The sequence below is a fragment of the Homo sapiens genome, chromosome 4 (assembly GCF_000001405.40).
Source record: "Homo sapiens chromosome 4, GRCh38.p14 Primary Assembly".
Taxonomy (NCBI): Eukaryota; Metazoa; Chordata; class Mammalia; order Primates; family Hominidae; genus Homo; species Homo sapiens.
This window is the reverse complement of record NC_000004.12, coordinates 77,154,507-77,171,216: the sequence shown is the minus strand read 5'-3', so window position 1 is coordinate 77,171,216 and position 16,710 is coordinate 77,154,507. Positions and strand designations below refer to the sequence as shown.

The window sequence follows — 16,710 nt, the reverse complement described above, 5'->3', positions numbered from 1 at the left end:
CTACTAGACTGTAAGTTCCTCGAGGGCAGGGATAGGGTTTGTTGTGTTTGGCATTCCATAGCAACACAAGTGTGCCTGACACACAAAGCATTCAAATATCTGATGGGTGAATGAGTAAGTCAATGAAGGGAGTCCTAAGGTAGTAAGTAGGTTTGCCAGATGAGGGTGCCAAGGTGTTCTAGCCAGAGGAAATGGTGTGCATCAAGGCACTGAAGTGAGCAAAAGCATGGTGAGTGGGGTGTTATCAAACAGAACTGGGGTCCACCCACCCGGCCCAGCAAGATCAGATAGCCACACTGAGGTTTGCAGCAGGAGAAAGGAAAACATTTATTTGCGGGGCACCAAAGAAGGATCAGGCATCTAAGACTTAAATCCCAATTTCCCAGATGGTTTACAGGTAAGAGTTTTTAAAGGCAGAAAGGCAGAGGTTACAGGCGAAGTCAGAAATCAATACATAGAGACTATACATTGGTTTGACCTAAAAAGGCAAGGCATCTCGAAGTGGGGGTGGATTCAAAGACTTTCTAGTGTGCGATTGGTTAAGGAGATGACGTTTTGTCTCAACATTTGAAATCTACAGAAAAAAATGTAATCTCTGGCTCATGGGCATGACCTCCTCCAGGCCTCTCAGGAAGAAATTTAGAACAAAGAACGGTGGTCAGAGTTCAGTCCTCAGCTCCCTCTTATCTGAGGTCTATGTGCTAGCGCATCCATTTGCTAGGGGTTCAGGTTTCTGGAAAACAACTCAGGGATATATATTAAGATGTTATCTGTAGTTTCTATAGGGGAACCAAACATCCCATGATTCTAACTTACTTGGCTATTGTTTTGAGCCGCTATTTGTTGCTTATCACATTTCTCTCTTACTTCTCAGGGCTAGCCAGATGCCTGGAATTTCTCTTGGAAGAACTCACGATTTTTTTTTTAATTTCCATGTTTGGGAGTAGGGAACAGGCCCCTAAGAGGGGTCTCTGACTCATCTCAGATGTAGTGGGCCTGGGAAATACGTGGATGTGGATGCCATGAAACAAGGCTGAAAAGGGAGCCGGGAACAAATCAAGCTGGGTCTTCTAAGCCGCAGTACGAAGTTGGAACTTGATGCTAAGGTGTGGTGAGAGCCATGAATTTTAATTAGAGGAAGCATATAACCAGCGTGTGTGTTTTAAAGTTCATTCTTTATTCTGTTAATACACTAATAATTCAAATCAATTTTAGGAAAAAAAGGAAACTACAGATAGGCATAACTTAAAAAAAACATCACCTGTAATCTCACCAGAGATAATCACCATTTGACCATAAATAACAAGCAATCTGTCTCACTTATCTATTACTGTTTAACAACCCTCCCCCAAAACCTCGTGGCTTAAAACAATAATTTGTTATTTCTAGTGAGTCTGTGGGTTGATTGGGATCGACTGAGTAGTTCCTCTGTTTTCTGTGGTGTAGCTGAGGATACACCCACATTCAGCTGGGAGCTTAAGGCTGGAACATCCAAGATAATCTCTCATCCTCAAGAGTCTCTCTCCACATGGCCTCTCATCTTTCAGTAATCCAGCTGAGCTTCTTTGCAGCATGGTGGCTAGCTTCCAAAAAGGATAAAAGGAAAGCTGCCAGTCTCTTAAAGCCTAGGCTTGGACATATACTAAATTTCTTCTGCTGCACTTCAGTAAGCAAAGCCATTCATAAGGCCAGCCAAAACTCAAGAGAAACAGACTCCACTTGTGGACGGGAAGAGCAGCATGTAGGCACAGGGATGGAAAGACTGACTGGCCATCATACTGGGAAACTATCTATCACACAATTTGATTTGCTAAACACAAAGTAAGTTATTGACCATTTCTGGTAGTAAATAGTTAGGAAAACTGAATTCCAGTAACAAATGCAAAATACCTTGTCCTTGTCCATATATGAATCTAAGTGGGTTGTCTCAATAAGCTGACAATTTGCATGTGTGATGAGGGAGGAGGGAGGTGGGAGGTAGCAGGAACACCATATTGAAACCTAGTGTTGAAATAAAAGAAATTGTAAAAAAGAAAAAGGCAGACTCTAGACAAAGAAAATGGTTAAAATTGTCACGAGGAGTGTTCTGAAGCCAATGCCTCTCTACAGTTAACCTGAGTATGTATTAATCCTGAGTGTGACAGGTAATTAAAACACATTATTTGTCTAACCACACTTCCTGGGAGGAGGAAACAGTAGCAGAGCCAAACAGATGAAGACCCAGGACCTAGGCACAATACTTCACCATGCGCAACAGCAAAGTGCGTGCACCACATCCTAGAAAATGACAGGATCAAAACCTGAAAGGTCAAATCTCTCGCCAAGTCAACGGGGGTAAGGATGAGGACAAAATGGTAGCTTTCTCCTCACCCTCTGCTCTGAAAAGGGCAGGGGCTTCTCAATTTTATTCATCACAGTCATGGGAAAGCCACCTGGTTGAATGGCACAGGAGGGTATAACCAGGCTCCTGGACTTGTCTGTGAGCCTCCTAATAATGCCCAAAGAGAAAGGATAGCGCTTCTCAATTTTCACCTCTCTTCCTCATCCACACTTCCACTGCCTTAGTTCAGTCAGACTGGTCTCCATGCTGCTACTCTATATTGCCCAGTTCATCTTCTGTATAGCTAACAGAGTTCTTTCTCAATACACATTTTTTAAGGTCTAGGAAATGACAAGAAAAAAAGGCCAGAGACAGGTGCAGTGTTCAGATTAGACAGAGACTTGTATGTCATGAATAGATTTTTCTCCTGATTGTGCGTGACCTACTCAACAATTTTTCAGGAGATAGTTAAAATTTTATTTTAAAAGGATATGTAGATAGGAAGGCAGAGACCAGGAGTAAGCCTGGAAGCTGAGGGATCACAAATATATTACAGTACCTCTGCTGATAAAGAGTACAGGTCTAAACCATGCCAATGGCAGAAAAAGGGGGGACAGAGAGATATAAACAGTGTAAACGAAATCATACAAATGATAGAGGCTGGTGACCTCCATAAACAGGCAAAAGGAGATGAGCATATCACCTAAGTTTCCAACATGAATAGATGGAATTATTCGCTGAGAAAGACATAAAGAACCAGCAGGTTTGGGAGTAATCAGAAACCTCCAAGTGGCATGGCAGGCCATGTGAATAAACAGGTTGCAAGCTCAGCAGAGAGGTCTCGACTAAATACACTGAAAACCACAGGGGGAAGAGATGAAGCCACAAAGATGCTTACCCAGGAAAAATATCCAGTAAGAAAAGCAATACAATCCTGCAGGAGCTAAAGAGAGTCTTGAGATTTGGTAAGCCCCAAACAACTTTTACATCTCAACAAATCAAAATCTGAAAGCAGAATATATTGCCCACTATTTACTAATATTATTTAGTAAGAGAGGAAAGGTCATCCTCAAGTAGGATTCTCCACTAGAAGGGTAGGAAAACATACCCCTATCTCCAGAGAAGAGGTGTTACATGAAAACCATATTCAGTGTACCTGATTTTCTAACTAGAGAAAACAAAGGTCTACAAAAATCAAACTAGACAGATGGGGAACCTATTGGGGTGGGGCAGGGGAAAGGACCACCACTTGCAAAACCACCTGATACTTTTGAGGTCCACAAGAGCCAGAAGCTGGCGGGGCCCTATCACAGCGAACACCCCATACTTATTAACCAAACAACTGATTAAAACTTGCTTTGTCTCCTGAAAGATCGTTCTAATCTGCCAACCTGAGCATTCTGTTCTACTTAATACCTGTTGCCTCTCACTGAAAATTAATAGGCATTCTGGTAATATACCAGTCTCTGAGAGCATACTTAATGAGTCCATCCCACAAAGAGGTCAATTGTCAAATGACAGATTCTCTTTCAGTATCTCCAAGGCACAGATGCCAAACCTAGAGAACTTCTGCTAGCCAGTTAGAAGGCTCACTCTGGAATCACTGTAGCCTCACCTAAAGTCTTCTCATTAAAATACATCAAGAACTTTTAACAGATTAAAAATTAAGATGTGATCCCAAACAAGGAGAATTCATTAATAATTTTATTTTGAATTACAATCTATTATCACTTCAAAAAGAGCCACTTCAGAAAACATCCAACGGATGTTGACTTACCAGTAAAAATGTAAGTCATCAATGTATGATTTATACTACAGAATACATAATAAATTATATTTACATGCAATGACTAGACTATCACACACAAGGTAAAAAAATACAGTATTTTATGTACATTTTAAAAGATTTACATGTTCATATACAATTTATAAAGTTAAAAATTCTCTGTACAAAATCTTACATGTACAGAGTTTATATAAGCCCCATTCTTATGGCTGTATCACCACACAGATTTGCTTAAAACTATAATACTACAAACACTCGGGTTCTTCATATTCAATCTTGGCACCCATATAGCAATACACTATTCTGAAATGTAAATTACAAAGGAAATAAAATGTAATCATGCAGACATTTTTTAATATAAGAAAATGCGATAAAATATACTACACCAGATCAACATTTATCAATTCCATAGATACTGAGTTTTCAACTTACTGCACTGTTTTCATATAAGTACATGCAAAACTAGCAGATTATGGATTTTTAAAGTAACATTAAAATAATACCATAGTTTGACAATACTTGGGCAATAGGAATGAAAACTAAGAGCCCTAGCCTAATTATTTCTGCCTTAACAGAAATCTCAATTAAGACATTACATATATAAAAATCACAGAAATGTCAATATTATAATTCCCAAATTTATAAGATCTGCATCACATCAAATAGACACTGATCATTTAAAAAACAAAACAACAAAAATGTGTTTGACATTTAAGAGCATACTCACTCTTCTGAGAAGGGGGGAGGGTGAAATCTATGATAAACCATTAAGGATTATCCACTGTCCCTGCTAAGGAAGCACTTGCATACTTCCAATCTGCTTAAAGACATCTGAAGGTTTTATAAAATGTTTAAGATAAGCTACACTAGTTATTTTTAAAAATCTTGAAAAGTAACAAATTGAAGGTATCAGCACCTTCCCTCCTCCCCAAAGTAGCTAAAGATCTACGAGAAAAATAAAGTGCCAATGTCTAAAGTACTGTTAATGGTTTAAGAGGCACTACCCCATTTGATGGCTTAGGATAAATATGAAAATAGGCCAGATCTGATCTGAATAACAAATAGAAGGTAGGTATTCCAGTATATTAATTCCTGACTAGATGGGGGCTAAACCAGGAAACTACCTATTCCCCCATTTATTGCTTTGAAACCTGTAAATATAAATTCTGACAGAACAATCAGATTTCTAAGATGGAAAGCACAGTGTTTGTGCCACTTTGAAGTTGAAAAAGAAGGTGCACTCTTGATCACTGGGAGGAGAGCTGCTGAGACTCTCCTCTCCACAACTCATATCTTCACAAGAGTCCTCACTAAAGAGAAAAAGAGACAAAAAAAGAGGATACCATTACTTAAAACACACTTAAATGTTTTATAGCCAAAATAAAGCTGCTATATCTCTAGTGAGGATTTTTATATTCAAAATTTATGCTTTACAGAGACAAAATTTATAAGGACTTCCTAAATGAAGTCTATAGTAATCTCATTGGAAAATATAGATTTTTTGGACTGGGTGCAGTGGCTCATCCCTGTCATCCTAGCACTTTGGGAGGCCGAAGTGTGCAGATCGCTTAATCCCAGGAGTTCAAGACTAGCCTGGGCAACATGGCAAAATCCCATCTCTACAAAAAATATTAATACAAAAATTAGCTGGGCATGGTGGCACATGCAAAAAAAAAAAGAAAGAAAGAAAGAAAATATAGGTTTTCTTAAGTTTAAACAAGTTACTATTTGCCAAACTATTATTCTTGTACCAATTAATAACTATCAGCAAGTATTAGAATTGTAGAATTCTAAGTATTTTAAATCCAGTAATGAAGACTAAAAACAACATACCTCCTAGCATATGGTCTATTTAGATGTATTTCTTGCATCAGTGATTTATTATACCACTTACACTGTCAAATATCAAAGTAAACTAACAAGCTATGAAAATGAAACTTCTGGCCCTTTATCTCTACGGCATAAAACAAACAAATTTAGCAAAGTTATTCACTTTACAAACAAAGTAATCAAATTCTGAATAAGACAACACCAATTGACAAACCTCTGAGAACATATATAGAAGTCTTCCCCATCAGTGGTGGTGATTCCCTTTATTTTCCAGGCACCTACCCCTCAATCTCTTCACCACAGCACAATATTAGGAATTCATACTAACATTACAAAGCCCAGAATTCTTTTTCAGTTTTGTTTTTTTGGGGTTTTTTAGCTGTATTTCAAGAGCAAGGGAAATAGGAGAAAGATGGAAAACAACCACTTTAAAAAGGGAAAAGAGGCCGAGTGCAGTGGCTCACACCTGTAATCTCAGCACTTCGGAGGCTGAGGCAGGAGGATCACTTGAGCCTGGGAGTATGTAAGACCAGCCCTGGGCAACATCGCGAGACCCTATCTCTACTCAAAAAAATATAAAAAAGAAAAAAACTAAAAAAATTGGAGAGGACCTTATAAATCATTACATATTAAAATACTACTTCTGGTTAATTTGCTTACCTGAAGAGTGGGGGCTTTAATTCTTAGCTCTTAGTGTAGGTGCTTGCTTTCTCTGATGTCTTACACTATTCCAGTTCTGAGTATAATAAACTCAGTAATATTTAGTCTAGGGAAGTTTAATTAGTCAAGGAACCTGCCTACCTTTCACTTTCATCAAAACAACCCCCCTCAGGTATCGTTGGCAGCTCAGGAACACTATAGTAGCTGTTGTGGAGGTTCTGGGCTGTGCGCCTTGAAACGATCCAAACCAACTTCTTAAGATCTGGTTTGCAACATTCAGGAGAAGAATACTCGGCTAGGCATTTAGAAACCAACTCTCTCCAGTAGAAGAACTCAGTGTCATTAATCTGAAAAAAAAATATTTTAAGAGGTTACGGCAATGTCTCCCAAATCTTGCTGCACCTTGGAATCACTAGGTGAGCTATGAAAAATATATATATATAGATGCCTGGCTCCCACTACCCGCTTCCACCCCTGGTATTCTGATTTAATTGACAATGAGTGCAACATGGGCATCAAGAGTTTTCTAAGTTCCCTAGGTGATTGTAATGTGCAGCCAAACTTTCAAAATTTGGGAACCACTGGTTTAGGAGAAGAGCACCGTAAGTATAAAACTACATAGGATTCAATACACAGAAAGCTTTGCCTATTCTAAGAAAACACTGACCTAAAAACACTCTGGGTCTGTTAATAAATCAGCTATCAAGTATAGTCCTTAGTCTCAATGCAAAGGAATTTAACATTCCTTTTGTTACAGAAACCAATTTGGGTTCCTGCAACAAGGCATTGTTTGGATTGCTGGTAATACACACTTATAACACCAGATACAAAACTAAAGAAGTTAGTGATATGAGAGAACAGGAATTTCCCAAAAAGGACATAGTTCCGCCACCACTGGGCAGTGCTCCAGTTTATTTCTTTTTTGTTTTTCTTTTTACGTATTTTTTTCCCTCCTCCTTCGGAATGCCTTCAGTTTATTTCAACGAATCAATTTTCACTGAAGATGGTTCCAGCTATCACTATCAATAAAAAGTTCAGATAAAAACTAATAAAATCATAACTAAAGCAAAAAGTTATCTGTTACAAACAAAATGCTTCACATGCACATATTTTCACCAGAAAACAGAAGATCTATTTTCTTGGCTTCCCATTTTCACCTAATGTAGCTACATCCTAACCCACTTGTAATCTGGTTTCTACCACTTCCTTCTCACTGCTCTACTGACATTACCTCTGACACACCCAATGACCTTCAATTTTCATTATATTGGATCTCTTATAAAAATTCAATACTCCTGACCACCTCCTTAAAAACCTCCTTCCAGTCTGACAGTGCTTCTACTTGTGGGGATGTACCTTTCTTCACTTGGCTCCTAATGTTGGGGGGAAAGGCCAACGCTGAAAACCCCAGAGCTTCAACTGACCCCTACAAAAAGGATTCCACAGCTTCTTACCGTTTCAACTACTGCTTCTTCATGAGAAATTCCAAACCTCAATCTCTAACTATAGTTTATCTTCTTATTCCAAAACGCCAAACACCTACTAGACACCCACCTGTGTACACAAGCATCTAAAATCATATTGCTCTCATCACAAATTAACTTCTCCCAAATTTCCTGCCAATTATGCTAATATTATATCCACCATTAGGTACAAATCTTGGTCATTCAAGACTCCTTGCCTCATTTCCATGCTTGGCTTCCAAAACCACTGTTTGAGTTGGACAGCCTTACTCCTGCTTGTGACTACCACCTAGACATTGTACCTGTAAGTCTACCCTAAAATGACTTTTATATCTGTCTAGTCCACCAATTTCTTGGCCGTTAAGCCTTCGCTGAAACTTTCACTGTCAAAGATTCTTTTGCTCCAAACAGGCTCCCAGTCATAGTGTTTCTCCTAGTCTGCCCTATTTCTTTGCTTAAAAAAAACCCAAAGTAAGCCGGGCACAGTGGCTCACGCCTGTAATCCCAGCACTTTGGGAGGCCAAGGCAGGTGGGATCACTTGAAGTCAGGAGTTCAAGACCGGCCTGGCCAACATGGCGAAACCCCATCTCTACCAAAAATATAAAAATTAGCCTGGCATGGTGGTGAGCACCTGTAGCCCCAGCTACTCGGGAGGTTGACGCAGGAGAATCACTTGAACCCGAGAGGCTGAGGTTGCGGTGAGCCAAGATCATGCCACTGCACTCTAGCTTGGGCAACAGAGCAAGACTGTCTCAAAAAAAAAAAAAAAAAAAAAAAAAATCCCAAAGTACTCTCTATATTCACTATTACCTGGCACCAAGACACAATAACAAATGACAGAACACACCACTTCATGTTAAGTTCCTCATTTCCCCAACTAGACTGAGAGTTTAAGAAAAAGTATTGTGCTTTTGTTTTATATCTCTTTGTGATGGTAAGACTTACTTTTACTTAGCTGGCCTAAAGGATTTGAAAAGACATTCGGGTTTAAAACATCAACATTGCTGGTGTTAATTGATGCTGCTGCTAATGGGATGACAGTTCAGTCCTACAGGTGTGATGGGATCCCATCCTATCCCATTAGTGTTTGTTCTGAGTCTACTACCTAGTATGCATTTCAGAACAATGCATATGTGGCAATGTAACAGCTGTACTATCATATGGCATGATTACTACAGAAGGGGCACCTATATGCAGAAAGAAGCTGAGCTAAGTGACCAGGTTCCCTTCCGGATTAATACTGTCTGGGTCAAAGCTGCATTTTGAGAACTTTAACACTAGAGATATAAGAAAAAAAACAAGTGTAAAAGTTAAGAGTCCCATAAAGTATTACTTAATGTTTAAGTCACCACAGAAAAAAATAAACATCAGGAAAAAAATTTGCCTTAAAGAATAATGACTGTAATTACCTTGGAATGTTTTTTAACTAGCAAGAGAATTTCCAGTAATTCAACAGATTTCAAAGTTTCCACTTCCAAATTGAGAAGGCACAAGGCTAATACAGATGGCTGTAAGAAAAAAGAAAAAAAAGAAAAATATTTTTTAAAAATTCAAAATACAAACTGTGAGATATATACATAAGCAAGGAATCGACTTACTTTTGCTTTTGAAAAGATGAGTCGGCAGTTGCAAGCTTTCAGCTGAGCTTCTAGTTTATCAAGGCTCAGTATTTCTTTCCTATACAATGCAAAGAACAAAGATTTATTAAACTTCCAAAGATTTAAATGATTTTAAATGATTTTAAATATTTGCCAGGGCCAGACGCGGTGTCTCACGCCTGTAATCCCACCACTTTGGAAGGCAGAAGCAGGTGGATCACCTAAGGTCAGGAGTTCGAGACCAGCCTGACCAACATGGAAAAACCCTGTCTCTACTAAAAATATAAAATTAGCCAGGTGTGGTGGCGCACGCCTGTAATCCCAGCTACTTGGGAGGCTGACGCAGGAGAATCGCTTGAACCCGGGAAGTGGAGGTTGCAGTGAGCCGAGATCACGCCATTGCACTCCAGCCTGGGCAACAAGAGCGAAATTCCTTCTCCAAAAAAAAAAAAAAAAAAAGATTTACCAATAAAGTCAAAGTTGAAAGTTTGAAGAAGGTAAAAATATAAATTTCATTGCCATTCCAATTATTTACTGTTAGCTATAGCAATGTTCAAAGTACAAAATGTATCTTTAATCCCACTGACCTTTCTGAAGTATGACAAAGTATAATAGTATGGTATAAGTGCAAAAAGTTTAAGGCAGTAGTAGCTTCCAATTCATAGTGCAATTTTTCTGAAATTATTTTTTCCATCCGTTTTATGTCAGAAGCAGTACATTTACACTGACTAATCCGGATCACATCATGAGTGGATGGAATATTGCAGTCTTCTTCAACTATTCTAGCAGCCAGCAAAAAAGAACAGACTCCAATGCAAGACAAATGTTTAGGTTTCACCTGAGAAAAAAACAAGAGGCTTCTTTTAACAACTGTCACTTTGACTTAGCAGATACTTAGAATATTGTAATGATGCTCCTATTCTTAAGACAGAACACAATCAAGTTGTTTCTCTTATATGTACTGGCTCTTTACCCACAATTATACACATTTTCACATTTTAGACGTTCTCGACCTCCCCCCCCCCCCAAAAAAAAAGGCAGCAGGGAACAGTGGCTCATGCCTGTAATCCCAGGACTTTGGGAGGCTGAGGTGGGAGGACTGCTTGAGGCCAGGAGTTTGAGAACACTCTGGCCAACATAGCAAGACTATTCTGGCCAACACAGCAAGCCTCCATCTCTATTTAAAAAAAAAAAAAAAAGTTTTTTGAACCTTTAAATTATGTAAATTCAAATGCAGGTACAAAAATTTCCATGCAGGTTCAAAAGCTAGATTCCTAGCACTAAAGTATAATTTGTATTTCAGACTTATGAAATTCATAATATAATCTCTCCCAAAATAAATTAAGCTTTTTAACACCAAAAAAAAATGTACTGGGATATTAAAATATTTTATACTTATCTTTTTACATAAAAATCTTTAAGAGTCATTCCATATTTCAATGTAATTTTGCCCAAGAGAAATATCACGAGTTGTGCAGAGTGGGACATATGTAAAAGCTGCCATGGACAGATGGCGGCCCTTTTCTTTTCAGTGCCCTGAGAACTGACCCAGCAGCTGACAGCAATCCTACTGGCAGAAGATTCCCCACATTTTTCTAGCCATTGCTGGTGACTGTTAATAAAACCATGGCTCCCTGCTTTGAAGAGACTTCTAGGGAAGGCAGCCGGTCATATTTAATAAACTGTTATACTTCATTTGTCATGCTTCAGTATTTTAAAAATCTGGCTTCAAGAGAAGCATGATGGCAGATGAAATCTTATATTGAGGACTATAAATATATGGCAAATACCTAAAAAATAGTAGTCTCTCTTTTGTCACATATTCAAGAGAAAGTACTTAAGAGGTAAAACCTAAGACACAACAGAAAAACCTAAGATACAACAATACAATTAATCTTGTAGTCTTATTCTGGCACTAACGATCACAATTCTGATTATAAATTTTTATGTACAGTGGACGTTATTATACCCATTCGATAAATATTTCTTGAACCCTGTGTGCTAGGCACTGGGCATAGAAAAAGGAAGACATATTTATAAAAATGATGAAATACCTTCATAAGAGCCAAGAACCTGTCCAAAATATTGACAGCCAGGACAAAAGTTTCAGTGCAAGATCCAAAAAAGTTGGCTAAACTCCTTAAATCTTCAACTTTGGCATTTCTCAATCCTGGACACAAAGTGTTATCATTCTGCAATAAAAACCAAGAACCAAGGTTTACAATTTTCTTAGAACCAGATGAAAAACACATACAGGTCCAAAGAATAAGGTTAATTTTTTCCCAAGAATAAGGTTAATTTTTTTCCCTCAATCTTCAAGAATATAGGTGGAAAGAGTGGTATCGCTTAACTAAAGCTATACACTTTATCATCTGTAAGACGTAAATCACTGCTTCTTAAAAATACGCATCATAAAAGAGCTTCAGCAATTCAATATAAGGTGAACTGTTGCAAGATTTCAGAGAGTTATAGCAAATATAATTCAATTCCCTTGGAATGGAGAGAAAGGGTTCTTTTGTTTGCTTTTCTAAAGTCATTTAAGATTCTACTATAAATATGTATTTCACAGGCAGAGGGTGTTTGCACAAATGAACTACTCAATTCACCCGGGGTCTCCCATCCTGAAGCTGCAGGCTGGAGTATGGGGGGCAGCGAGGAGGGTGCCACATTAAAAACAACAACAAAAAACCCCACTTCTCTAAAGTATCACTCTCATTCTTGCTAAGAAACAAAAGCATTAACCTGTAATAAGGTTTATCTTGGTACTCCAGAAAGAACAACTTTTAAGAAATTTTGCAGGCTTTAGTCATGATTCAACGGGGGCGGGGGGGTTACCTCCTCCAAGCCCCATCAGCTGCTTGAGCAAGTTATCTTTTCTGCCAACTTACCTCCGGGGTAGCCTCAATCAAACTCAGCCCTTTTTCTCGAGGTTGGAATCTCTCTTCTTGTTCCAGGTAGACGTTCAACAACCCGAGAAGTTGGACCCCTTCATGACCTGCCAAGTGCTCTGCCCCCAAATCCTTCATCTGCAGTAAAGACACCACACAGAGAATGTAATCTGGGGGTAAGAGGGGTGGGGAAGCGGGAGAAAGGGCTGAGGCCAGTACCTCCAGCAAGGGTCGCCCCAGCACACCCCGACAAGGAGCGGGTGAAGGGACCAGTCACGTCCGCCAGAGCCCCAGGGCAATCCCCACCACGGCCAGGGAGGTGTGGCAGGGGGAGGAGCCGTGGTCAGGTCCGCCGGCCAGCGCTGGGTAAGACCGGCCAGCCCTGGCCTCTTGGCGTTTCACAAACAGGAAACTGTCCGCGGGCGCCGGCGTCCCCTCGGTCTGCCCCACCTGAAGTCGCGCCAGGGAGGGCCTTCTGCCCAGGGGACTGCAGTGTGGCGAGCGACTGCAGCGGGTCCCGGGGATGGGGTGTTGCACAATAGGGGGGAGGGGAGGGAGAGTCTCGCGACTGAACAAAGAAGCGGAGGGAGGAGACTCCCGAGCCCCGCCCGCCCGGGGCGCCCAGCTGCAGAAGCCCCTCTCGGAGAGTCCCGCCCCCAGCTTTTCCCGTCCGCTGCTGCAGCGCCGATTCCGGACTTACCCGAGAGGCGGATACCCCCGTCCCAGGAGCCCTGGGGTGGCGCGGCACACCCGGCTACGGTCCGGGGAGAGAAGTCCAGTCCAGCCCGCCCGCCCCGCGCCCGTAGGGACAACACCCGTCCACCCACTGATGCCGGGGCCCCACAACTCTGCAGAGCCCCGGGGCTGTCAATTCGAGAAGCACCACGCCAGCAAGTCCCCGTGACAACACGAGCGGGGGCGGGGGGCACCGAGGCGGAGACTGCCCTTAACCTAGTCGCAACCTCCTTCCACCCCACGAGCATCTATCTGTCCATCGCGGGCGCCAGCTCCCCCCGGGGCTGGGGCTGAGGGCAGCACCCTGGTCGCTCCAGCGGATGAGGAGCAGGCAGCACCGAGGCACTCGCATGGTACCAACCTCCTCAAAGCCCACAGTCCCCACCACGAACAAAGAAACCCACGGCGGCCCTGGGCGGGTCCACTCACCGTGCCGGAGACGCGCCTCCACCCGCCCGCGGCCTCGCGGTCCGCACGGACTGGGCGCAGCGGGGGCTTCCAAACCTGTCTCGCAGGTCGGGGACCCACCGCCTCAGCGGTGCCCCCGGTCCGGCATCCGACCCTTCCTCCCAGGCACCGCCGCCTCGGCCTCACAGCCCCGGCTCCATCCCGCTCCCCGCGCGCCCACCCTCCGCCGCGGCGCAACGCCGGCCGCGGAAGACCAGCCCACCGCCGCACCCCCGCCGCCTCAGCGGAAACCTCCCCGAGCCCCTTGTTTTTGTTAAGAGTTTCGACGCCCCCAAGGGGGCGGGGCACGTGACTCCCCGCGGAGGGATCCTGCACTTCCTCCACGGACTTTAAAAAAGAGTCCCGCCCCTAAGCTGCCGTCTCGAGCCTCTCTCGCGGCCTCCCTAGCTCTCCTTGGCTTTGCCGAGCCAGTCCTCCCGCCTGGCGCTAGGGCGGAGAGCGGAATCTGGGCGTCGGGCTTATTCCGCGATTGATCTGCGTTGGGGAACGGGGGAAGACAGAGGGGCGGAAGGAGATCGTTTCTGGTCTCATTACGCCTTTTAAAGGTCCCCGATTTGTTTTGTTTTCGCTGTTTTGAAAAGTCCGCCCAAAGTAGCCGGCTCTCTGATTGGATGCGGGTGGGGCGATGGGCATGCTGAGGACCTGATTCACCCTCGAATCTGGATTGGCTAACTTATCAGTCTTGGAGCCCTCTGATTGGCTTTCTCCGTAGCCTGAGCCTCTCTCTGCCTTGGGGCCTTAGCAACTCCAGGGTCTGGATTGCGCATGCCTGGGTGTGCAGCGGAGAAGGTATTCAGTTACCTGCCCTGCGGGGCTGTGCCTTCTCGCCTGGCTGCCTCCGCCTTTCTTGGGGGAATGTCACGCTCGCGGCGCTTCTCCTAACAGCTAACCTTTGTGACAGCCTTTTCAGCCACGGGAGAGTTTTCTACATTCCTTCTTTATTTTGTCTTGGCGTTCCATTTTGCAATAACCCACCAAATTATTATAACATTGTCGGGGCGTTTACTAAAATATTCAATAAATGCTACAAGTTTGGGTATTTGCTTTAAAATTTTACAGTCCAAGAGAAAAAAAAATGGAGAAGAGAGGTGAAATAAGATAGGCAAAAAGTTGAGGGTCGAAGCTGGGTGATGGGTACTCGAGGCTGCATTACAGTATTCTTTCTAGTTCTGTGTCTTGGAATTTTTCCATAATTTAAAAAAATTCAGGAGGGACTGAAGGAGGGGCTTTTCAATAAAAACTTAGCACGCTGATGAGGGTACGTAAACATCTAATAATTACGGCGTACCTCCAGAGGTTGTAGTGCTGTTGTTTTAATGAAGACTCCCAGAGCTTCTTGGTCCTTGGTAACCCATAAATTATCATTTATTGTTCATTATAATTAGCGTTGTTATTATAGGCGACACGTCTCCCAGGACGGGACAAAAAGCAAACAAACCAGGTGCCTTAGGCCAGAGACACTTTCACACGGAATATCAATGGGGCATGTGGTTGACTGCCCTGGAACATTTATTTGTTTACTCTCTCCCTCCTAAATTAGAAAATACCATATTCGTGAGTTCTAATCTACATAATCAGATAGTCCCTGGGAAGAGATTTCTCCTTTCTGTTCTTCTATGTGTTTTCTGTGAATTATTTTGTTACTTGTGAAATATGGGAAGGCACACAACATAGCTTTGGCAGCGCTCTTCTTTGCGGAGCAGCTAAGGAATTTTAAAACTAGGTCCCTTTGCATATTAGCTCGGACTAAACACAGGCATCTGTTTGGAGCACAGAGCAACTGGGGGAAGGCAGCCCAAAAAGCTAACACTTATTTCAGAGAGGTGTGAGCTTGGTGAGGGTTTTGGAAAATAAGATAAAATTAGCACACCAGTTTTAAATGATTTACAGGCTACATAATTTTATCCAATGCTTGTTTTATCTTTTAAACATTAAGTGATAACTTTTATTTGACATAATCATCTTGCTGGAAATCTATGCTGATAAACATAATAGGAGCATGAAACTAACTTAGAGACTAGAGCTAAGATTAAAATTACAGAGATGACAGCTCATTGTACAGAGCATCAATAGGCTGAGTGGACAGGGCCCACAGACAGAAAGCAGCTCGACCAACTATCCACCATCAGAGAAATGAAGAGTTTGTGATCAAAGCATGAAGGAGACTGGGGATGTTTTTTTCAAGTAAGAAGGCAAAGGTAAAAAAGGAACATACGTTATTTTATAAGTGATGTGAAAGAGGAAATGCAAATTTATGTGGTAGAAGACTTTAAAAATAACAGACTATATAAAACAAAAAGGAAAAGATTTAGAAATTGTCCTTTGCTTAGGCTACATAATTTTATCCAATGCTTATCTGATCTTTTAAACATAAATAAGTGATAACTTTTATTTGACATAATCATCTTGCTGCTTAGCACTAAATGATATGAAGCTATACTAAATGTGTACTCTATATTTCATAACTGGTATTTTATGTGTCCTTTTACAGACAGCCTCTTGAATGATGTGAACAGTGATGGCTTTCTCTGAGAGTAAGACAAGAAAGCTTTGTAAATGGCGTTGAATTTCCTGCTCTTGGCAGGCCCTGCTCAGCACAGAAGAAAAGACTGATCAAGTTGTCCAAGATGGAGCCCTTTATCCACGTTAGTCCACTTATCTCTTTAAGATTAAAGGAAAGCAATCATTAAAAATACAGATCCAGTAATTATTAATACAGCATCCTCTTTTTTAAACACCTCATTTTAAGAATGATGATATTCTTAGGAAATGGGCTGGGGGATTATGTAGGTTTTCTCTGTTTACTTTGCAGAATTTTTTGTTTGTTAATATATCTTTTAAAAAAAAATTCTCCTCATTCTATTTGTCCTTATCACATTGGCTTACCTTGCCGGAGCTGAAAGTGTTATTTATGAAAAAGACATTATTCCCCTTAGGCTAATCAGGCTTTACCCATTAGCC

At 41.6% G+C, this 16,710-nt stretch overlaps 1 protein-coding gene and 1 long non-coding RNA gene across 4 annotated transcripts, besides 3 other annotated features; one reads left to right on the top strand and one right to left on the bottom strand.

Moving 5' to 3' along the window:
* Nucleotides 1–1,156: 1,156 nt before the first annotated feature.
* On the bottom strand, nt 1,157–14,010 carry CCNG2 (cyclin G2). Of its 3 annotated transcripts, none has more exons than XM_011532399.3 (8): nt 13,247–14,010; nt 12,547–12,684; nt 11,713–11,850; nt 10,246–10,496; nt 9,659–9,737; nt 9,470–9,568; nt 6,738–6,943; nt 1,157–5,416 (listed from the first exon to the last, which is right to left on the bottom strand). In XM_011532399.3, exons 2-8 carry the CDS (start codon nt 12,682–12,684, stop codon nt 5,293–5,295), a joined length of 1,035 nt encoding a protein of 344 aa, XP_011530701.1. In that variant the 5' UTR covers nt 13,247–14,010; the 3' UTR covers nt 1,157–5,292. The 3 variants fall into 3 exon arrangements, with proteins under 3 accessions (XP_011530701.1, NP_004345.1, XP_011530700.1); NM_004354.3 differs by having other exon boundaries at nt 13,711–14,010; XM_011532398.2 differs by lacking the exon at nt 13,247–14,010 and adding an exon at nt 12,766–13,053.
* On the top strand, nt 13,153–16,463 carry LOC101928864 (uncharacterized). Its single transcript, XR_244659.5, has 2 exons — nt 13,153–15,947; nt 16,241–16,463. It is a non-coding gene; the product is annotated as an uncharacterized LOC101928864 (long non-coding RNA).
* Nucleotides 13,702–13,811: a silencer, noted in NCBI's record as "silent region_15504". NCBI's record gives its function as "represses an Ori minimal core promoter by ATAC-STARR-seq in GM12878 lymphoblastoid cells {active_cell/tissue: GM12878}" and the evidence as "EXISTENCE:reporter gene assay evidence [ECO:0000049][PMID:35858748]".
* Nucleotides 13,842–13,911: a silencer, noted in NCBI's record as "silent region_15503". NCBI's record gives its function as "represses an Ori minimal core promoter by ATAC-STARR-seq in GM12878 lymphoblastoid cells {active_cell/tissue: GM12878}" and the evidence as "EXISTENCE:reporter gene assay evidence [ECO:0000049][PMID:35858748]".
* Nucleotides 14,332–14,451: a silencer, noted in NCBI's record as "silent region_15502". NCBI's record gives its function as "represses an Ori minimal core promoter by ATAC-STARR-seq in GM12878 lymphoblastoid cells {active_cell/tissue: GM12878}" and the evidence as "EXISTENCE:reporter gene assay evidence [ECO:0000049][PMID:35858748]".

What these genes read in the sequence shown, in the direction of transcription:
- CCNG2 (XM_011532399.3), bottom strand. Translation starts at nt 12,684, where the DNA reads ATGAAGGATTTGGGGGCAGAGCACTTGGCAGGTCATGAAGGGGTCCAA. An exon ending in TCATCTTTTCAAAAGCAAAA is followed by an intron (nt 9,569 to 9,658) that starts GTAAGTCGATTC and finishes TTTTTCTTACAG; the next exon opens with CCATCTGTATTAGCCTTGTG. An exon ending in TGTTTTGATGAAAGTGAAAG is followed by an intron (nt 5,417 to 6,737) that starts GTAGGCAGGTTC and finishes TTTTCTCTTTAG; the next exon opens with TGAGGACTCTTGTGAAGATA.